Source organism: Homo sapiens, chromosome 1, assembly GCF_000001405.40.
Source record: "Homo sapiens chromosome 1, GRCh38.p14 Primary Assembly".
Taxonomy (NCBI): Eukaryota; Metazoa; Chordata; class Mammalia; order Primates; family Hominidae; genus Homo; species Homo sapiens.
This window is the reverse complement of record NC_000001.11, coordinates 173,610,805-173,631,879: the sequence shown is the minus strand read 5'-3', so window position 1 is coordinate 173,631,879 and position 21,075 is coordinate 173,610,805. Positions and strand designations below refer to the sequence as shown.

The 21,075-nt window shown below is 41.7% G+C and overlaps 1 protein-coding gene across 8 annotated transcripts in view; it reads left to right on the top strand.

The window, feature by feature from the left end:
• The window catches only part of ANKRD45 (ankyrin repeat domain 45), a 106,850-nt gene that overhangs the window by 83,306 nt on the left and 2,469 nt on the right, over nucleotides 1-21,075 (top strand). For 6 of the 8 annotated variants that reach the window (XM_017001123.2, XM_047419195.1, NM_198493.3 and 3 more), the window contains 2 exons: nucleotides 4,721-4,815; nucleotides 6,955-7,093. In XM_017001123.2, the coding sequence (XP_016856612.1) occupies nucleotides 4,721-4,815; nucleotides 6,955-7,093 (234 nt within the window). Of the gene's footprint in view, nucleotides 1-4,720; nucleotides 4,816-6,954; nucleotides 7,094-21,075 lie in introns of those variants that run through there. The other 2 variants (NR_158771.1, XM_047419206.1) reach the window with 2 other exon arrangements.

Genomic DNA, 21,075 nt, shown 5'->3' with positions numbered 1-21,075 from the left:
TGTAGGTGTTTATTACTATAAAGTTTCCTCTTAGTACTGCTTTCACTGCATTCCATACTTTTGGTATATTGTGTTTCTATTTTCATTTGTTGCAAGAATTTAAAAAATTTCCTTCTTATTAGTAATTTCTTCATTGACACACTGTTCATTCAGAAGCATACTGTTTAATTTCTATGTGCTGTATAGTTTCCAAAATTCCTCTTGTTATTGATTTCTAGCTTTATTCCATTGTGGTCAGAGAAAATACTTGATATAATTTTAATTTTTTTGAAACTTTTAAGACTTGTTTTGTGGCCTAACGTAAGGTCTGTCCTTGAGAATGATCCATGTGCTGAGTAGAAAAATGTGCATTGTGCAGTCACTGAATGAAATGTTCTGTAAATATCTAGTAGGTCCATTTGGTCTGTAGTGTAGATTAAGTCCGATGTTTCTTTTTTGATGTTCTGTCTGGATGATCTGTCCGGATGATCTGTCCAATGCTGAAAGTGGGGTGTTGAAGTCTCCACCTATTATTGTATTGGGGTCTAGCTCCCTCTTAAGCTCTAGTAATATTTGCTTTAAATATCTGGGTGCTCCAGCGTTGGGTGCATGTATATTCCCAGCTGTTATATCCTCTTGCTGAAGTGACCCCTCTATTATTATATATGACCTTCTTTGTCTCTTTCATAGTTTTTTTCTTGAAATCTATTTTGCCTGATGTAAGTGTACTACTCCTGCTCTTTATTGGTTTCCATTGGCATGGAATATCTTTTTTTATTCTTTTATTTTCCATTTATGTGTGTCTTTACAGGTGAAGTGTGTTTCTTATATGTAACAGATAATTGGATCTTTGATTTTTATCTCTTCAACCACTCTATGTCTTTTGATTGGAGAGTTTAGTCCATTTACATTCAGTGTTATTATTGATAAGTAAGGACTTATTCCTGCCATTTTGCTATTGGTTTTCTGGTTGTTTTGTGGTCTTATCTTCCTTCTTTCCTTCCTTCCTGTCTTCCTTTTAGTTTCTTGCTTTTTATTTTTTGTGTCTCTCTCTCTTTTTTTTTTTTTTTTTTTTTTTTTTTAGACAGAGTCTTACTCTGTCACCCAGGTTAGAGTGCAGTGGCACAATCTTGGCTCACTGCAACCTCTGCCTCCTGGCTTCAAGCGATTCTCCTGCCTCAGCCTCCCTAGTAGTTGGGATTATAGGCATGCACCACGACGCCAGCTAATTTTTGTATTTTTAGTAGCTGGTCTCAAACTCCTGACCTCAAGTGATCGCCCGCTTTGGCCTCCCAAAGTGCTGGGATTATAGATGTGAGCCACCAAGCCCAGCTTTGTTGTATGTTTTTTGATTTGAGATTACCATGAGACTTTCAAATAGTATCTTATAGTTCATTATTTTAGACTGATGACAACTTAACATAGATTGTATAAACAAACAAGCAAAGAGAAAAACAAATAAAAGCTACACTTTAACTTCATTCCCCTCCAACTTTTTACCTTTTTGTTGTTTTTATTTATATCCTATTGTACCGCCTATGTCTTGAAAATTATTATGTTTGATAGATTAATCTTTTAGTCTTTCTATTCAAAATACGAGTAGTTTACCCACCATAATTACAGTGTCATACATAGTATTTTGTGGTTTTCTGTGTACTTACTATTACCAGTGAGTTTTATATCTTCTGATGATTTCTTATGGCTCATTAACATCCTTTTCTTTCAGATTAAAAAACTCCCTTTAGCATTTCTTCTAGGACAAGTCTAGTGTTGATGAAATCCCTCAGCTTTTGTTTGCCTGCGAAAATATTTCTCTGATGTGTTTGAAGGATATTTTCATGGATACACTGTTCTAGGGTAAAAGTTATTTTCCTTTAGCACTTTAAATATGTCATGCCACTCTCTCCTGGCCTATATGGTTTCTACTGAAAAGTCTGTTGCTAGATGTATTGGAGTTCCGTTATATGTTATTGGTTTCTTTTCTCTTGCTGCTTTTAGGATCTTTATCCCTGATTTTTGGGAGTTTGATTACTAAATACCTTGAGGTAGTCTTCTTTGGGCTAAAACTGCTTGGTGTTCTATAATCTTCTAGTACTTGAATATTGATATATTTCTCTAGGTTTGGGAAGTTCTTTTTTTAATTAATATTATTCCTTTGAATAAATTTTTTACCCTGCTCTCTCTCTACCTCCTCTTTAAGGCCAGAAACTTTTAGATTTGCCCTTTTGAGGCTATTTTCTAGATCTTATAGGAGTGCTTCATTGTTTTTTATTCTTTTTTCTTTTGTCTCCTCTGACTGTATTTTCAAATAACCTGTCTTTAGGCTTACTAGTTCTTTCTTCTGCTTGATCAATTCTACTGTTAAGAGACTCTCATGCATTGTTTGGTATGTCAATTGCATTTTTCAGCTCCATAATTACTGCTTGATTCTTTTAAGTTGTTCCAAACTCTTTGTTAATTTTATCTGATAGGATTCTGAATTCTTTCTCTGTGTTATCTTGAATTTCTTTGAGTTTCCTCAAAATACCTATTTTGAATTCTCTCTCTGAAAGGTCACATATCTCTTTCACTCTGGGATTGATCACTGGGGCCTTACTTAGTTTGTTTGATGAGGTCCTATTTTTCTGACTGACCTTCTTGCTTGTGGATGTCCACTGGCATCTGGGCATTGAAGAGTTAGGTATTTATTGTAGGTATTGCAGTCTGGGCTTGTTTGTACCTGTCCTTCTTGGGAAGGCTTTCTACGTATTTGAAGGGACTTGGATGTTGTGATCTAAGTTTTTGGTTACTCTAGCCGTATCTGCATTAGGGGGCACCCCAAGCTCAGTAACGCTGTGGCTCTTGCAGACTTGTAGAGATGCTGTCTTAATGGTCTTGGGTAAGATGTGGGAAAATGCCCTGGATTATCAGGCAGAAACTCTTTTTTTCTTTTCTTACTTTCCCCTCAATAAACAGAGTCTCTCTCTCTGTGCTGAGCTGCCTAGAACTGGGGGAGGGGTAAGACAAGCACCCCTGTGGCCACCACCACTAGGACTGCCCTGGGTCAGACCTGAAGCCAGCATGGCACTGGGTCTTGCCCAAGGCCTGTGGTGGCCACTGCCTAGTTATTGCTTATATTCACTCAAGGCCCAATGGTCTACAATCAGCAGTTGGCAAATACAGCCAGGCATGCGTCCTTCCGTAAAGGCAACAAGTTCCCCCAGGCTCTGGGTGGGTCTGGAGATGCCATCTGGGAGTCAAGTCCTGGAGTCAAGAACCTTAGGAATCTAGCTGGTGCTCTATTCTACTGCAGCTGAGCTGGCACCCGAGCCATAAGACAAAGTCCTTCCCACTTTTCCTCTCCCCTTTCTTCTAACAGAGTAGTCTCTCCCTGTGGCCACCACTGCCCAGGCCCACAGCAAGTCCACCTGGCTACTGCTGGTATTCACTTGAGGCCCAAGGGCTCTACAATCAGCCTGTGGTGAATACTGCCCAGCATGGGTTTCTCCCTTCAGGGCAGTGGGCTCTCCTCTGGTCCAGGCCAGGCCCAGAAATGCTCTCCAGGAGCCAAGGCTTGGAATCAGGGACCTTAGGATCCTGCTTGGTGTGCTACACCACTGTGGCTGAGCTGGTACCCAAGTTGCAAGACAAAGTCCCATTTACTCTTCCCTCTCCTTTCGTCAAGCAGAAGGTGTCTCTCCCCTTAGTCCCTACAGCTGGGGAATGTTCTGGGTCACCCCTGAAGCCAGCATGGCTCTGAGTCTCACCCAAGGTCCGTGGTGAGTACTGCCTAGGTATCATTGCTGCTTATTCAGGACCCAAGGGCTCTTTAGTCAGCAGGTGATGAATCCTGCCAGGCCTGGGTCCTTCCCTTCAAGGCAGCTGGTTCCCTTCTGGCCCAGGATGTGTCTAGAAATACCACTTTGGAGTTAGGGCCTGGAATGGGGGCCTCAGGACTCTGCTTGGTGCCGTGTTCTACTGTGGCTGAGCTGGTATCCAAGTTGCAAGACAAAGTCTTATTCACTTTTGCCTCTCTTCTCCTCAAGCAGAAGAAAGGAGTCTCTCCCAGAGCTGTAAGCTGTGTTGCCTGGGATTGGCAGAGCGGTGGCAAGCACTCTCATGGTCATTCAGGCTGGTGTCTCACTAGGTGATGTGCACCCCAAGTCCACTGGCTCTGATCCCTGCACAGCACTAGGACTTGCCCAGGAATTGCAGCCCTCGTGGCCTAGATGGCCTTTCAAATTTATTTAGGACCCCATAGCACTTTAGCCTGTAGTGGTGGGGCCTGCTGGAACTCAGATTCCAACTGCTGGGCTGTGTGCTTCCCCTCTGGCTAGGGCTGGTCTAAATGCTGCATCCATGGTTGTCAGCTGAATTCTGCCCCATGTTGCTTTCTTCTATGATAGGGAAGCATTGAGCTGTAGTGCAAAGTCCCACAGTCACTGTGCTCTCCCTCAAGCATATAGATTCTCTGTCTGCACTGTGTGGCTATTACCAGGGGTATGGGGGAAGTGTGGTGTAGGCAGTTCAAAACTGTCTTTCCTACCCTCTTCAGTGCCTCTTTCCTTAATATGATGTTAAAAGGAGCTACTGTGATTGCTTACCTGATTTTTGGTTCTCATGTTGGTGCTTTTTTGTATGGATAGTTTTTCAATTTGGTGTTTCTGTGGGGTGGGGTGGACAGTGGAGGCTTCCATTTGACTATCTTGCTTTGCCTCTTGTGTTTGTCTTGTCATGTGTGTGTTTCTGTCCATTCTTTCAGATGCAAGGCTGACTCTGAAAAAATATATTGCAAAAGTCTCTTTAGCTGTTACTGACACAGAAAAGGGATCAGGGAAACTCCTTAAGGAAGACAAGGTACTGTATTGTGATTATTGCTTGTTCTGTAGTGTTTTGAGAATTTTGTCTTACATTTTAATTTTTGCACTGATGTTCTAAAGGCAGGTAGTGGTCCTTACTTCCTCCCTCCTCCCTCTTTCTTTCCTTCTTCCCTCCTACCTTCCCTTCCTTTCTTTATAAACTTCTAATAGAGGATAGTCTGATCAAAACTAAAATAAATAGTATTAAAGAGTGACATAGAGATGTACTAAGTATCAAACCCAGCAACATGGCTGAATCTTAGAAATGTAATATTGAGTAAAAAAAATTATCAAAGACTACATAGACTTTTATAAAGCTCAAAAACAAGCAATATCAAACTATATAATTTAGGGATGCCTACATATGGGAGTAAAACTATTTAAAAAGCCAAGCAAAGGGATAAGCACAGATCATAGTTATCTCTTGAAGGCAGTCGGGGGGTGGGATGGGGAGGGACAGAAGCTGTATTAATAGTACTGGTAGTGTTCTGGTTCTGGACTGGTAGGGTCCAAAATAATACAATGGAAATATTCATTTCATTATTTTGCTTCAAAACTGAGATATACATTGTATATTTTAGTATATATGTACATGTACAAATACATTGCATATTATTTAATGTGTCAAATTTTCCAGAATGGGAAAAGAGATACACAGCTGTAAACACAGTAATTTTAAAGCCCACTTGCCACATATCTAAGTACTAGATCTAAGCATTCCCTGTGGAATAGTTTAGTGCTCTGAATGTACATTTAAAAAATATACTGAAGGTATCAGAAATGTGTTTTGGTTTTAAATTATTTCATTTATTTTTGTGCAGGATGCTCTGTGAATTTCCTGTGACTTATTATTCAGATGAAAAAGAATTAGGTATTGCTAAAAGTATAAGATATCACCAAGTCTAGCACTTGATAAGTTATACATTGCACTTGTGTCTTGTAGAGTACTCTGCAAAATCTCTTGTGAAACAAACAAAATGTAGGCAAAATTTATTAGAATAGCATTTGGAGCTATCAGATCTGCAAAGCAAAATTTTCCTGACACAAAGAAATAGTGCTTTGTCAAACTAGTTACTAGAACATTCTTAATTTAATTTTTAAAAATTTGATTATTTGAACTAGAAATTATTATGTATACATAGTAATAATTAGAAAAAATCAGAATGTCTAAAGCAAACATAATAGTTTTCCCTTTTCTATTTCTATTCTTAATACCTACTATGTGGTTTCAAAAATAATTTTGTGTTATGTTTTCCCTTTCACTTATATAATCATATGTATCCATACACATAATAGGAATTTTATGAAAGATTTTGTTTTTATAAAAATGAGATCACACTTATATATATTATTCTTTAATTTTACTTTTTTTCCTTCTCAATAAGATATTATGGACACCTCTCTAAGTCTACCTGCTTCTACATACTTCTGCATATGCTACTGCTTATTATTTAACAGTATGGACAGGACATACCACAAATGTATTTATTTATCTTTATTTTTACAGACCATAGTATAATAAACATCTTAAATCAGACATCAGAAATTTGCTGCATATGTGCGATGAGATAATTTTACAGTGCAAATTGAGAGATTTTCAGTAAGATGGAGCTTTTCTTGTATTTCTTGAACTTCCTCCTTCTGTGAACCATTTGAGAGGGAATAAAATATCAGCATTGTCTTTTGAGTTGCATGCAACTCATACCATCCACCCATTCTTTTCTGGTCTTTGCAAGTACTTCTTTTAGTCACAGGGCTTAACAAAAATAAAGAATTAGGGAGAAAGTGTAGAATGGTACCAGGCTTCATGACTCTCGATGGTGAGTTTTATTGTGCTCATATTCCACTAATGTTAGAGCTGCACTGTCCAATATAATAGATACTAGCCACATGTGACTATTCAAATTTGAATTATTTAAAATTAAATAAAATTTAAAATGTAGTTCCTTAGTCACCCTAGCCACATTTCTAGTGCTCAATAGCTATTTATATCTAATGGCTACTGTATTGGACAATGCAGGTACAGAATATTTCTATCATCACAGAAAGTTCAGTTGGACGTGCTGGTTTAGAGATACTGTTGAGTTTTATTTTTCAATAAATAAGTGGAGAGCAAACTCTGTATTTCTGTCCCTAGAATACCATCCTCAGTGCATGCCGTGCAAAAAATGAGTGGTTGGAAACCCATACAGAAGCTTCCATTAATGAGCTTTTTGAGCAGAGACAACAACTGGAAGATATTGTGACTCCTATCTTCACAAAAATGACTACACCATGTAAGTTTTGGATAAAAGGTGGTTTGAATGTCAGAAGGGATGAAAATTAAGTTCAATGTTGTTATTTTTGAGATATTCTGATTTTAACAATCTTCATTAAGTAGTTATTAACATTGTTACAAGCACTAATCTATGATATAGTTCCCTAGTTTCATTATTTGCAATATTAGTAATAACTAATAATAACTGAATTCTTCCTATAGGAAATGTCTAATACTAATCTTAATATTACCATCATCAGTCATTAAATTTTATGGGATTACTGTAGCTTTGTTTTGATTTTTTTTTTTTTTTCCCCCGGAGGCAGAGTCTTCCTCTGTTACCCAGGCTGGGGTGCAGTGGTGTGATTGTAGCTTACCACAGCCTCCACCTCCTGAGCTCAAGTGATACTCCTGCTTCCTGAGTAGCTGGGACCACAGGCAGGCATTACCATGCTTGGCCAATTTTTAAATTTTTTATGGAGATAGGGTCTTGCTATGTTTCTCAGGCTGGTCTTGAACTCCTAGCTTCATGTAATCCTCCTGCCTCAGCCTCCTGAAGTGTTGGCTTTACAGGTGTGAGCCACCACACTGGGCCTGTCGGTGATTTTGATTCTCATCTAGGAGGCATCTCCTCCTGGGAGATAGGGTGGCAACATTTTATTTTATTTATATTTATATTTATTTTTTTCCTTCAACATTTATTTTAAGTTGCAGGGTACATGTGCAGGATGTGCTGGTTTGTTACATAGGTAAACGTGTGCCATGGTGGTTTGCTGCTCAGATCAACCTATCACCTTGGTATTAAGCCCAGCATCCATTAGCTATTCTTCCTGATGCTGTCCCTCCCCCCACCCCCACAGTGTATGTTGTTCCCCTCCATGTGTCCATGTGTTCTCATCATTCAGCTCCCACTTACAAGTGAGAACATACAGTGTTTGGTTTTCTGTTCCTGCATTAGTTTGCTGAGGATAATGGCTTCCAGCTCCATCCATGTCTTTTAAATGGACATGGTCTCGTTCCTTTTTATGGCTGTATAGTATTCCATGGTATATATGTTCCACATTTTCTTTACCCAGTCTATCATTGATAGGCATTTGGGTTGATTCCATGTTTTTGCTATTGTGGATAGTGCTGCAATGAACATACACATGCATATATCTTTATAATAGAATGATTTATATTCCCTTGGGTATATACCCAGTAACGGGATTGCTGGGTCAAATGGTATTTCTGTCTCTAGATCTTTGAGGAATTGCCATACTGTCTTCCACAATGGTTAAATTAATTTACATTCCTACCAACAGTGTATAAGAATTCCTTTTTATCCACAACCTTGCCAGCATCTGTTGTTTCTGGGCTTTTTAATAATTGCCATTCTGACTGGCATGAGATGGTGTGTCATTGTATTTTTGATTCGCATTTCTCTAATGATCAGTGATGTTGAGCTTTTTTTCATGTTTGTTTACTGACTACATGAATGTGTTTTTTTTTTTTTCGAGGCGGAGTCTCACTCTTGTCACTCAGACTGGGTTCTGCAACCCCCGCCTCCACTGTAACCCCCACCTCCTGGGTTCAAGCGATTCTCTTGCCTCAGCCTCCTGAGTAGCTGGGATTACATGTGTGCCACCATGCCCAGCTAATTTTTATATTTTTTTGTAGAGACGGTTTCACCATGTTGGCCAGGCTGGTCTTGAACTCCTGACCTCAGGTGGTCCGCCCACCTCAGTCTCCCAAATTGCTGAGATTACAGGCATGAGCCACCATGCCCAGCCTTTTTTTTTTGAATGTCTTCTTTTGAGAAGTGTCTGTTCGTGTCTTTTGCCAACTTTTTAATGGGGTTGTTTGTTTTTTGCTTGTATGTTTGTATAAGTTCCTTGTAGACTCTGGATATTAGACCTTTGTCAGATGAATAGATTGCAAAAATTTTCTGTAGGTTGTCTGTTCACTCTGATGATAGTCTCTTTTGCTGTGCAGAAGCTCTTTAGTTTAATTAGATCCTATTTGTCAATTTTTCCTTTTGTTGCAATTGCTTTTGGTGTTTTACTCATGAAATCGTTGCCTGCACCTATGTCCTGAATGGTATTGCCTTGATTTTCTTCTAGGGTTTTTATAGTTTTGGGTTTTACATTTAAGTCTTTAATCTATCTTGAGTTAATTTTTGTATAAGGTGTAAGGAAGGGGTCCAGTTTCAATTTTCTGCATATGGCTAACCAGTTTTCCCAACACCATTTATTAAATAGGGAATCCTTTCTCCATTACTTGTTTTTGTGAGGTTTGTTGAAGATCAGATGGTTGTAGGTGTGTGGTCTGATTTCTGAGTTCTCTATTCTTTTCCATTGGTCTATGTGTCTGTTTTTGTACCAATACCATGCTGTTTTTGTTACTGTAGCCTTGTGGTATAGTTCAAAGTTGGGTAGCATGATGCCTCCAGCTTTGTTCTTTTTGCTTAGGATTGTCTTGGCTATTCAGGCTCTTTTTTTATTCCATATGAATTTTAAAATAGTTTATTCTAATTCTGTGAAGAATGTCAATGACAGTTTAATGGGAATAGCATTGAATTTTTAAATTACTTTGGGCAGTATGGTCATTTCATAATATTAGTTCTTCCTGTCCATGAGCATGGAATGTTTTTCCATTTGTTTGTGTCCTTTCTGATTTCCTTGAGCAGTGGTTTGTAGTTCTCCTTCAAGAGGTTGTTCACTTCCCTTGACTGCTGTATTTTTATGTATTTTATTCTTTTTGTAGCAATTGTGAAGTGGATTTCATTCATGATTTGGCTCTCTGCTTGCCTGTTGTTGGTGTATAAAAATGCTAGCAATTTTTGCACATTGAGTTTGTATCCTGATAGTTTGCTGAAGTTGCTTATCAGTTTAAGAAGCTTTTGGGCTGAGATAATAGGATTTCCTAGATATAGGATCATGTCATCTGCAAACAAAGATAATTTAACTTCCTCTGTCCCTATTTGAATACTGTTTATTTGTTTATCTTGCCTGATTTCCCTAGCCAGAATTTCCAATACTATGTCGAATAGGCATGGTGGGAGAGGGCATCCTTGTCTTGTGCTGGTTTTCAAGGGGAATGCTTCCACTTTTTGTCCTTTCATTATGATATTGGCTGTGGGTTTTTCATATAGGGCTCTGATTATTTTGAGGTATGTTCCTTCAATACTTAGTTTATTGAGAATTTTTAACATGAAGAGATATTGAATTTTATCAAAGGCCTTTTCTTTCTCTATCGAGATAATCATGTGGTTTTTGTCTTTAGTTCTGCTTATGTGATGAATTACATTTATTGATTTGTGTATGCTGAACCAACCTTGCATCCTGGAGATGAAGCCAACTTGATCATGATGAATAAACTTTTTGATGTGCTGCTGGATTTGATTTGCCAGTATTTTATTGAGGATTTTTGTATCAATGTTCATCAGGGATATTGGCCTAAAGTTTTCTTTTTCTGTTGTATCTCTGCCAGGTTTGGGTATCAGGATGATGCTGGCCTCATACAATGAGTTAGAAAGGAGTCCTTCCTTTTCAATTTTTTGGAATAGTTTCAGTAGAGATGGTACCAGCTCTTCTTTATACCTCTGGTGGAATTCAGCTGTAAATCCATCTGGTCCTGGGCTTCTTTTTGGTTGGTAGGCTATTTATTATTGCCTCAATTTCAGAACTCATTATTGGTCTATTCAGGGATTCAATTTCTTCCTGGTTCAGTCTTTGGAGGGTGTATGTGTCCAGGAATTTATTCATTTCTTCTAGCTTTTCTACTTTATGTTCATAGAATTGTTTATAGTTTGTCTGATGGTTGTTTTGATGTGGAATCAGTGGTGATATCAACTTTATCATTTCTGATTGTGTCTATTTGATTCTTCTGCTTTTCTTATTTATTAATTTGGCTAGTGGTCTATCTATTTTATTAATTTTTTTCCAAAAAACCAGCTCCTGGATTCATTGATTTTTTTGAAGGGTTTTTTTGTGTCTCTGTCTCCTTCAATTCTGCTCCGATTTTGATTATTTCTTGTCTTCTGCTAACTTTGGGGTTTGTTTGCTCTTGGTTCTTTTTTTTTTTATACTTTAAGTTTTAGGGTACATGTGCACAATGTGCAGGTTAGTTACATATGTATACATGTGCCATGCTGGTGCGCTGCACCCACTAACTCGTCATCTAGCATTAGGTATATCTCCCAATGCTATCCCTCCCCCCAACCCACAACAGTCCCCAGAGTGTGATGTTCCCCTTCCTGTGTCCATGCTCTTGGTTCTCTAGTTCTTTCAGTTGTGGTGTTAGGTTGTTAATTTGAGGTCTTTCCAGCTTTTTGATGTGGGCATTTAGTGCCGTGAATCTCCCTCTTAACTCTGCTTTAGCTGTATCCCAGAGATTCTGGTACATTGTCTCTTTGTTCTCATTAGTTTCAAAGAACTTCTTGATTTCTGCCTTAATTTCAGTATTTACCCAGGAGTCATTCAGGAGCAGGTTGTTCAATTTCCATGCAGTTGTGTGGTTTTGAGTGAATTTCTTAGCATCGAATTCTAATTTGATTGCACTGTGGTCTGAGAGACAGTTTGTTATGATTTCAGTTCTTTTGCATTTGCTGACTGTTTTACTTCTGCATATGTGATCAATTTTTGAGTAAGTGCCACGTGGTGATGAGAAGAACGTATATTCTGTTGTTTTTGGGTGAAGAGTTTTGTAGATATCTATCAAGTGTGCTTGATCCAAAGCTGAGTTCAGGTCCTGAATATCTTTGTTAATTTTCTGTCTGGATGGTCTTTTTAATATTGTCAGTGGGGTGTTAAAGTCTCCCATTATTATTGTGTATGAGTCTAAGTCTCTTTGTAGGTTTCTAAGAACTTGTTTTATGAATCTGGGTGCTCCTGTATTGTGTGCATATATATTTAGGATAGTTAGCTCTTCTTGTTGAATTGAACCCTTTATTGTTATGTAATGCCCTTCTTTGCTTCTTTGTCTTTTTTTTTTTTTTGAGATGGAGTCTTGCTTTGTCACCCAGGCTGGAGTACAATTGTGCAATCTCGGCTTACTGCAAACTTCGTCTCCTGGGTTCAAGCGATTCTTCTGCCTCCCCCTCCCGAGTGGCTGGGATTACAGGTGCCCACTTCCACACCTGGCTAATTTTTGTATTTTTAGTAGAGACTGGGTTTCACTATGTTGGCTAGGCTGGTCTCGAACTCCTGACCTCAGGTGATCCACCCATGTTGGCCTCTCAAAGTACTGGGATTACAGGCATGAGCCACCATGCCCAGCCCCTTCTTTGTCCTTTTTGACCTTTGTTGGTTTAAAGTCTGTTTTGTCAGAAACTAGGACTGTGATCCCTGCTTTTTTCCTGTTTTCCATTTGCTTGGTAAGTTTTCCTTCATCTCTTTTTTTTGAGCCTATGTGTGTCTTTGCACATGAGATGGGTCTCTTGAAGACAGCATACTGATGGGTCTTGGATCTTTATCCAGCTTGCCATTCTGTGTCTCTTAATTGGGGCATTTAGCCCATTTACATTTAAGCTTAATATTGTTATGTGTGAATTTGATCCTGTCATCATGATGCTAGCTGGTTATTTTTGCAGACTTGTTTATGTGGTTGCTTCAAAGTGTCACTGGTCTGTGTACTTCAGTTTATTTTTGTAGTGGCTGGTAATGGGTTTTCCTTCCCATATTTAGTGCTCCCTTCAGGAGCTCCTGCAAGGCAGGGCTGGTGGTGACAAATTCCCTCAGTGTTTGCTTGTCTGAAAAGGATCTTATTTCTCCTTTGCTTATGAAGCTTAGTTTGGCTGGATATGAAATTCTGGGTTGGAAATTCTTTTCTTTAAGAATGTGGAATATTGGCCCCCAATCTCTTCTGGTTTTAGGGTTTCCACGCAGAGGTCCACTGTTAGTCTGATGGGTTACCCGTTGTAGGTGATGTGGCCTCTCAGTCTGGCCACTTTTAACATTTTTTCTTTCATTTTGACCTTGGAGAATCTGATGATTATGTGTCTTGGGGTTGATCTTCTCATGGAATATCTTACTGAGGTTCTCTGGATTTCCTGAATTTGAATGTTGGCCTGTCTTGCTAGGTTGGGGAAATTCTCCTGGATAATATCCTGAAGTATGTTTTCCAACTTGGTTTTATTCTCCCCGTCTTTTTCAGGTACCCCAATCAGTCATAGGTTTGGTCTTTTTACGTAGTCCCATATTTCTCAGAGGTTTTGTTCATTCCTTTTCATTCTTTTTTTCTGTATTCTTGTCTTCCTATTTCAAAAGATAGTCTTCAAGCTCTGACATTTTTTCCTCCTCTTCGTCTGTTCTTCTATTGATACTTGTGTTTGCATTGTGAACTTCTTGCATCATGGTTTTCAGCTCCATCAGGTCAGTTATGCTCCCCTCTAAACTGGCTATTCTGGTTTTCAGCTCCTGTATTGTTTTATCATGATTCTTAGCTTCTTTGCATTGGGTTACAATGTGTTCCTTTAGCTCAGTGAAGTTCATTATTACCCACCTTCTAAAGCCTACTGTCATTTCAGCCATCTTGGCCTCAGTTCTGTGCCCTTGCTGGAGAGGTGTTGCAGTCACTTGTAGAAGAAGAGGCACTTGGGCTTTTTGAGTTTTCAGCATTTTTGCATTGATTCTTTCTCATCTTTGTGGGCTTATCTACCTTTGAGTTTTGAGGTTGCTGACCTTTGAATGGAGTTTTTTTGAGGCCTTTTTTGTTGATGCTGCTGCTGCTGTTGCTTTCTGTTTGTGTGTTTTTCTTTTAAAAGTCAGGCCACTTTTCTGTAGGGCTGCTGCAGTTTGCTGGGGGATGGCTCCAGAAAGCTGGAAGTTGCCTTGGCTTTTCCTCTACCTGGAGGTTTCAGCAAGTAAAGCCTGTGAAACAGCAAGGACAACAACCTGCTCTTTTCTTTGGGAGCTTTGTCCCAGTGGGGTATTGACCTGTTGCCAGCCTGGACACTCCTGTAGGAGGTATCTGAAGACCCGTGTTGGGAGGTCTCACTCAGTCAGGAGGGATGGGATAAGGGACCTGCTTAAAGAAGCAGTCTGGCTGCTTTTTGGTAGAGCAGGTGTGCTGTGTTGGGGATAGCCCTTGCTCATCCAGACTGCCTGGACTCTCCGGAGCCAGCAGGCCGAAAGGCTGTTGACTGAACCGCAGAGACATCGGTCATCCCTCCCCACAGTGGCTCCATCTTAAAAGAGATCAGAGTTATGTCTGTATAACCCTGGCTGGAGTTGCTGTAATTCCTGCAGGGAGGCCCCACCCAGTGAAGGGGGATGCATTGGGGTCCCATTTAAAGAAGCAATCTGGCCACAATCTGGCACAGCAGCTGTGCTGCATTGTGCAGGACTCCTCCTCATCAGGACTTCTTGAACTCCCCAGAGCTGGAAGGCTAGAAGGGCTGAGTTGAACAAACTGCAGAAATGGATGGCACCTGCCTCTACCCTCTGGGAACTCATCCATCTCAGGCAGTCTCCAGCCTGTTGCGCTGTCTGGCAGGAATTCCAAGGTGGTGGGTCTTAACTTGTGAAGTGCCGTGGAAGTGGGGCCCACAAAATGACACTGCTTGGCTCTCTGGATTCAGCCCTATTCCTAGGGGAGCATATAAATGGATCTCCTGCCTTGCTGGGATTCCTGGGGCCAGAGTATGTAAAACTCCTGGGTCTCTGTGTGAGCCTGAGCATCTGCTTTGCCAAGACTCCACATAGGTCTGTGTATCAGACCCAAGGCTCTGGTGGCATGGGCTCATGAGGGGATCTCGTGATCGGTGGGTTGCAAAGATCTGTGTGAGAAGTGTGGTTTCTCACTTTACTTACTCCTCAAGCAGATAAGCCACACGTACATTGTGAGTGGTCGCACAATCACTCACTGCTTCCCTTGGCTGGGGGTGGGGGTTCCTTTGGCTCTGTGCTGCTCTTGGGTGGGCCATTGCCCCACTCTACTTTTCTTCATTCTTTCTGGGTCAAGCCATTTGCCTAGTCAGTCCCAATGGAAGAACCTGGATATTTCATTTGAAGGTGCTGAATTCACTCACTGTTTTTATTTTCCATGAGAGCTGTGGACTGCAGCTTTTTCTAATCGGCCATCTCAGTTCCTCTTGGCAGCATTTTAAAAAGCAGTTTCAGTATTATAATTCTATATTTCGGGAAAAACCTACTGTGGGAATACTATCCTAAGAATCAGAAAGGTGAACGTATCAGAATATTGGTGGCAGGCACACCCCTAACATTTTTTTAAAATAATAGCTTTATTGAGATATAATTCTCACACCTTAAAATTAATCATTTTAAAGAGTACAATTCAGTGGTTTTCAGTATATTCACAAAGTTGTGTAATTATCACCCTTATCTAACTTTCGAGTTTTACCTCTCTGAAAAGAAACCCTATAGCTATTAGCAGTCACTTCCTATTCTTCCCTCCCTCAAGCCCTGGCAACCACTAATCTACTTTCTGTCTCTGGATTTGCCTTCTCTGAACATTTTTTTTTTAACTTTTTTTTCTGGGGGCAGGGCAGGTTGGGTTAGGATGGCTGCCCTCTGGACCTGCCCCTGAACATTTATAAATGAAATAATATAGTATGTGTTGCCTTTCGTGGTGGCCTCTCTCACTTGGCATAATATTTTTAATGTCCATCCATGTGGTAACATGTATCAGTACTTCATTCTGCTTTATGGCTAAATAATATTCCATTTTGTGGGTACAAATTTAATCTATTTTTTTTTTTTTGAGATGGAGTCTCACTCTGTTGCCCAGGCTGGAGTGCGGTGGCATGATCTCGGCTTACTGCAAGCTCCGCCTCCTGGGTTCATGCCATTCTCCTGGCTCAGCCTCCTGAGTAGCTGGGACTACAGGCGCCCGCCACCATGCTTGGCTAATTTTTTGTATTTTTAGTAGAGACGGGGTTTCACCATGTTAGCCAGGATGGTCTTGATCTCTTGACCTTGTGATCCGCCTGCCTCTGCCTCCCAAAGTGCTGGGATTACAGGTGTGAGCCACCGTGCCCGGCCCAAATTTAATCTATTTATCAATTGATGGACATTTGGGTTTCCACTCTTTTGGCTATTATAGATAATGCTGCAATGAACTGTTGTATGAAAATTTTTGTGTGGTCACATGTTTTCCTTTTTCTTTGGTATATTGCTGAGTTATAAACTGATTTCCATTTTATATTCCAACCAGCAGTACATGAAGATTCAAATTTCTCCACATCTTTGTCAGTATTTGTCATTGTCTTTTTTTTCTATTTAAAGTCACCTTATTTAATTTTATTGTTAATTTTGTTAACATTGAACTCACAACCAACAGCATTATAATTCATGTCTGAATGAAACTTACCTAACACAGTATTTTCTCTGTAAGACACATTAAATCGTTCTTGCACTTAGGAGCACTAGACCGCACTTCAGCACTACACTTGGGGGGCATTTTTTTTTTTTTTTTTTTTTGAGACGGAGTCTTACTCTGTCGCCAGGCTGGAGTGCAGTGGCGCAATCTCAGCTCATTGCAACTTCTGACTCCCTGGTTCAAGCGATTCTCCTGCCTCAGCCTCCCGAGTAGCTGGGATTACAGGCACGTGCCACCGCGCCCAGCTAATTTTTGCATTTTTAGTAGAGATGGGGTTTCGCCATGTTGGCCAGAATGGTCTCAATCTCCTGACCTTGTGAGCCACCGCGCCCGGTCTGGGGGGGCATTTTTAAACAACAACATCTAGGCCGGGTGCGGTGGCTTACGCCTGTAATTCCAGCACTTTGGGAGGCTGAGGCGGGTGGATTACTGGAGGTTGGAAGTTCATGACCAGCCTGGCCAACCTGGTGAAACCTTGTCTCTACTAAAAATACAAAAAAATTAGCCAGATGCGGTGGCGTGCACCTGTCATTGCAGCTGCTCAGGAGGCTGAGACAGGATGATCACCCGAATCCGGGAGGTGGAGGATGCAGTGAGCTGATATCATGCCCCTGCAGTCCAGCCTGGGCAACAGCTACACTCTGTCTCAAAAATAAAATAAAATAAAATAAAACAACAAAATCCCAACAAAAAGAAAAAAAAGCCAAAAACAGGACACTACACCTCAAAAAGGACCCTTGTTTATGGTATAATAGCTGTCTTATTTAAGAAGATAGTGTCATCTTGTTCAGCCTTTGCTGGGAACATGTGTGTTGGGAACCTCAGATTTTTCTCTGCTTTGTGCATATCTGTAAATGACTGCAAAAGTACCAGGAGTATTGATTTTAGCAAGCAGGCAGATTTGCATACGAAATCTATGAAAGTGGCTGTCCAATATGTTAAATGGAAATGTTGGAATATATTGCATAATTCCATCATATTTATGATGGTAAGAATTCCACTTTACTGAAGCTATAACTATTTGGAAATTGAAATTTAAAACTGGTTTCAATTTGTAGTTTTTATCAAAGTTCTGCAGATAGATGTTTTCAGAGATAGTTATACAAAATTTAGGAAAATAGTGGCCGTAGAGCCCCTTTTCCACAGTTTCTGTTTCCCAGGGACAAACAGGTTCAGCTCTTTCTTTATTTTATTTTATTTTATTTATTTTTTTTTTTTTATTGATCATTCTTGGGTGTTTCTCACAGAGGGGGATTTGGCAGGGTCATAGGACAATAGTGCAGGGAAGGTCAGCAGATAAACAAGTGAACAAAGGTCTCTGGTTTTCCTAGGCAGAGGACCCTGCAGCCTTCCACAGTGTTTGTGTCCCTGGGTACTTGAGATTAGGGAGTGGTGATGACTCTTAGCGAGTCTGCTGCCTTCAAGCATCTGTTTAACAAAGCACATCTTGCACCGCCCTTAATCCATATAACCCTGAGTGGACACAGCACATGTTTCAGAGAGCACAGGGTTGGGGGTAAGGTCATAGGTCAAAGCATCCCAAGGCAGAAGAATTTTTCTTAGTACAGAACAAAATGAAAAGTCTCCCATGTCTACTTCTTTCTACACAGACACAGCAACAATCTGATTTCTCTATCTTTTCCCCACCTTTCCCCCTTTTCTATTCCACAAAACCGCCATCGTCATCATGGCCCATTCTCAATGAGCTGTTGGGTACACCTCCCAGACGGGGTGGTGGCCGGGTAGAGGGGATCCTCACTTCCCAGAAGGGGCGGCCGGGCAGAGGCGCCCCCCAACCTCCCGGACGGGGCGGCGGCCAGGCGGGGGCTGACCCCCCTCCTCCCTCCCGGACGGGGCAGCTGGCCGGGCGTGGGCTGACCCCCCACCTCCCTCCCGGACGGGGCGGCTGGCCGGGGGGGGGGCTGACCCCCCACCTCCCTCCCGGACGGGGCGGCTGGCCGGGCGGGGGCTGAGCCCCCACCTCCCTCCCGGACGGGGCGGCTGGCCGGGCGGGGGCTGCCCCCCACCTCCCTCCCAGAGGGGGCGGCTGCCGGGCGGAGATGCTCCTCACTTCCCAGACGGGGCAGCTGCCAGGCGGAGGGGCTCCTCACTTCTCAGACGGGGCGGCTGCTGGGCGGAGGGGCTCCTCGCTTCTCAGACGGGGCGGCTGCTGGTCGGAGGGGCTCCTCGCTTCTCAGACGGGGCGGCCGGGCAGAGACGCTCCTCACCTCCCAGACGGGGTCGCGGCCGGGCAGAGGTGCTCCTCACATCCCAGACGGGGTGGCGGGGAAGAGGTGCTCCCCGCATCTCAGACGATGGGCGGCTGGGCAGAGACGCTCCTCACTTCCTAGACAGGATGGCGGCCGGGAAGAGGCGCTCTTCACTTCCCAGACTGGGCAGCCGAGCAGAGGGGCTCCTCACATCCCAGATGATGGGCGGCCAGGCAGAGACGCTCCTCACTTCCCAGACGGGGTGGCGGCCGGGCAGAGGCTGCAATCTCGGCATTTTGGGAGGCCAAGGCAGGCGGCTGGGAGGTGGAGGTTGTAGCTAGCCGAGATCATGCCACTGCACTCCAGCCTGGGCAACATTGAGCACTGAGTGAAGGAGACTCCGTCTGCAATCCCGGCACCTCAGGAGGCCGAGGCTGGCGGATCACTCGCGGTTAGGAGCTGGAGACCAGCCCGGCCAACACAGCGAAACCCCGTCTCCACCAAAAAAATACGAAAACCAGTCAGGCGTGGCGGCGCGCGCCTGCAATTGCAGGCACTCGGCAGGCTGAGGCAGAAGAATCAGGCAGGGAGGCTGCAGTGAGCCGAGATGGCAGCAGTACAGTCCAGCTTCAGCTCAGCATCAGAGGGAGACTGTGGAAGGAGAGGGAGAGGGAGACCGTGGGGAGAGGGAGAGGGAGAGGGTCATTGTCTTTTTTAAAAAAATTAGCCATCCTAGTGGGTATGAAGTGGTATCTTAATGTATTCTGATTTGCATTTCCCAAATTACGAACAATTCTGAGCATCTTTTCATGCTTACTGGCCATTTCTGTATTTTCTCTGGAGAAATATCTATTTGAATTGCTTGCCCATTTTTATTTTTTTCTTTTCCTGGTCATTAAAGGGAAGAAACTTTTCCTTCCTTCCTTCCTTCCTTCCTTCCTTCCTTCCTTCCTTCTTTCCTTCCTTCCTTCTTTCCTTCTTTCCTTCTTTCCTTCCTCCCTCTCTCTCTTTCTTTTCTTTCTTTCATTTTAAGACAGGCTCTCACTCTGTTGCCCAGGCTGCAGTGCAGTGGCACAGTTACAGCTCACTGCAGCCTCAACCTCCCTGGGCCCAAGCAATCCTCCCACCTCAGCCTCTGAAGTAGCTGGGAGTACAGCGGTATGCCACCACACCTGGCTAATTTTTCTACATTTTGTAGAGACAGGGTTTTGCCATATTGCCCAGGCTGGTCTCAAACTCCTGGGCTCAAGTGATCTACTTGCCTCGGCCTCCCAAAGTGCTGGAATTACAGGTGTGAGCCACCACACCTGTCCTTGCCACCTGTAGATTGGATTGTCTTTTTATTTTTTAGTTATATGAGCTCTTTATGTATTCTTGATACAAGTCTCTCGTCAGAAATATGATTCTATTTCCTCCCATTCTCTGGATTGTCTTGTCATTTTCTTAATTATGTTTTGGAACACAAAAAACTTTATTTGGATTGAGTTCAATTTATCTGTTTTTCCTTTGTTGCTTCTGCTTTCTGTGTCATACCTAAGAAACCATTGCCAATCCAAGGTCACCAAGATTTAATTCTATGTTTTCTTCTGAGAGTTTTGTAGTTTTAGCACTAATGTTTAGTTCTGTGATGTATTTTGAGATATATATTTTTATTGTGTGTGTGTGTGTGTGTGTGTGTGTGTGTGTGTGTGTGTGTGTATGTATGTATTAGGCCATAGGGGTCCAATTTAATTCTTTTGCATGTGGATAATCAGTACCTAAGATTTTTATGTTTATCAAAAAGGAGTTGTGGATTTTTAAAGGTTAAGACACTTAACCTAGTCCAGATATTACAGTATGACATAATGTTTCTTGCCATCTAGAACTAACATGAATCATATGATCTGTTGAGCACACACATAGCACTCTCCTAGGAGCCTACCACTTAGTTTGTGAGTAGAACATACCTGAAAAGATAATCTAAGTGCTCTATATGATCAGAGAAGCCTAAGTATAAAGATAAAGCATCATGAAGAAAGAAGAGTTTCCTGAGAGGATGGATAGCCAGTGTGGAGTATGAAGGAGATTCCAGAATGAAAGCACAGTATTATGATCAAAAGTGGAAATGTGGGGAATAAGGAAGTGGCCAGTACCCATGTGGCTGATTGTAGCTGAGTCTGTGTCAAGGTACAGTAGAAATGTAGAAAATAGAGTTTTTGCAAAGTTAACATGTGATCATTTTATTAAAACTACTAAATTTTAAACTTAGAAGTTTCGGCTTTATTTTTTGGGCAGTGGGATGTCATTTAAAGGCTTTGGGGTGGGAGAGAAGAGAGATTAAGTACGGAGGATAATCTGGGCTTGTTTGCAAAATGGATTGGAGGGAGAGGAGACTAGAGAAAGTGAGTATAGTTTAAGAGTGAGATAATTAAGACCTGAATTATTTTTTATTTTTTAAGATTTTGTGATATCTTAATTTGTTTTTCAATTA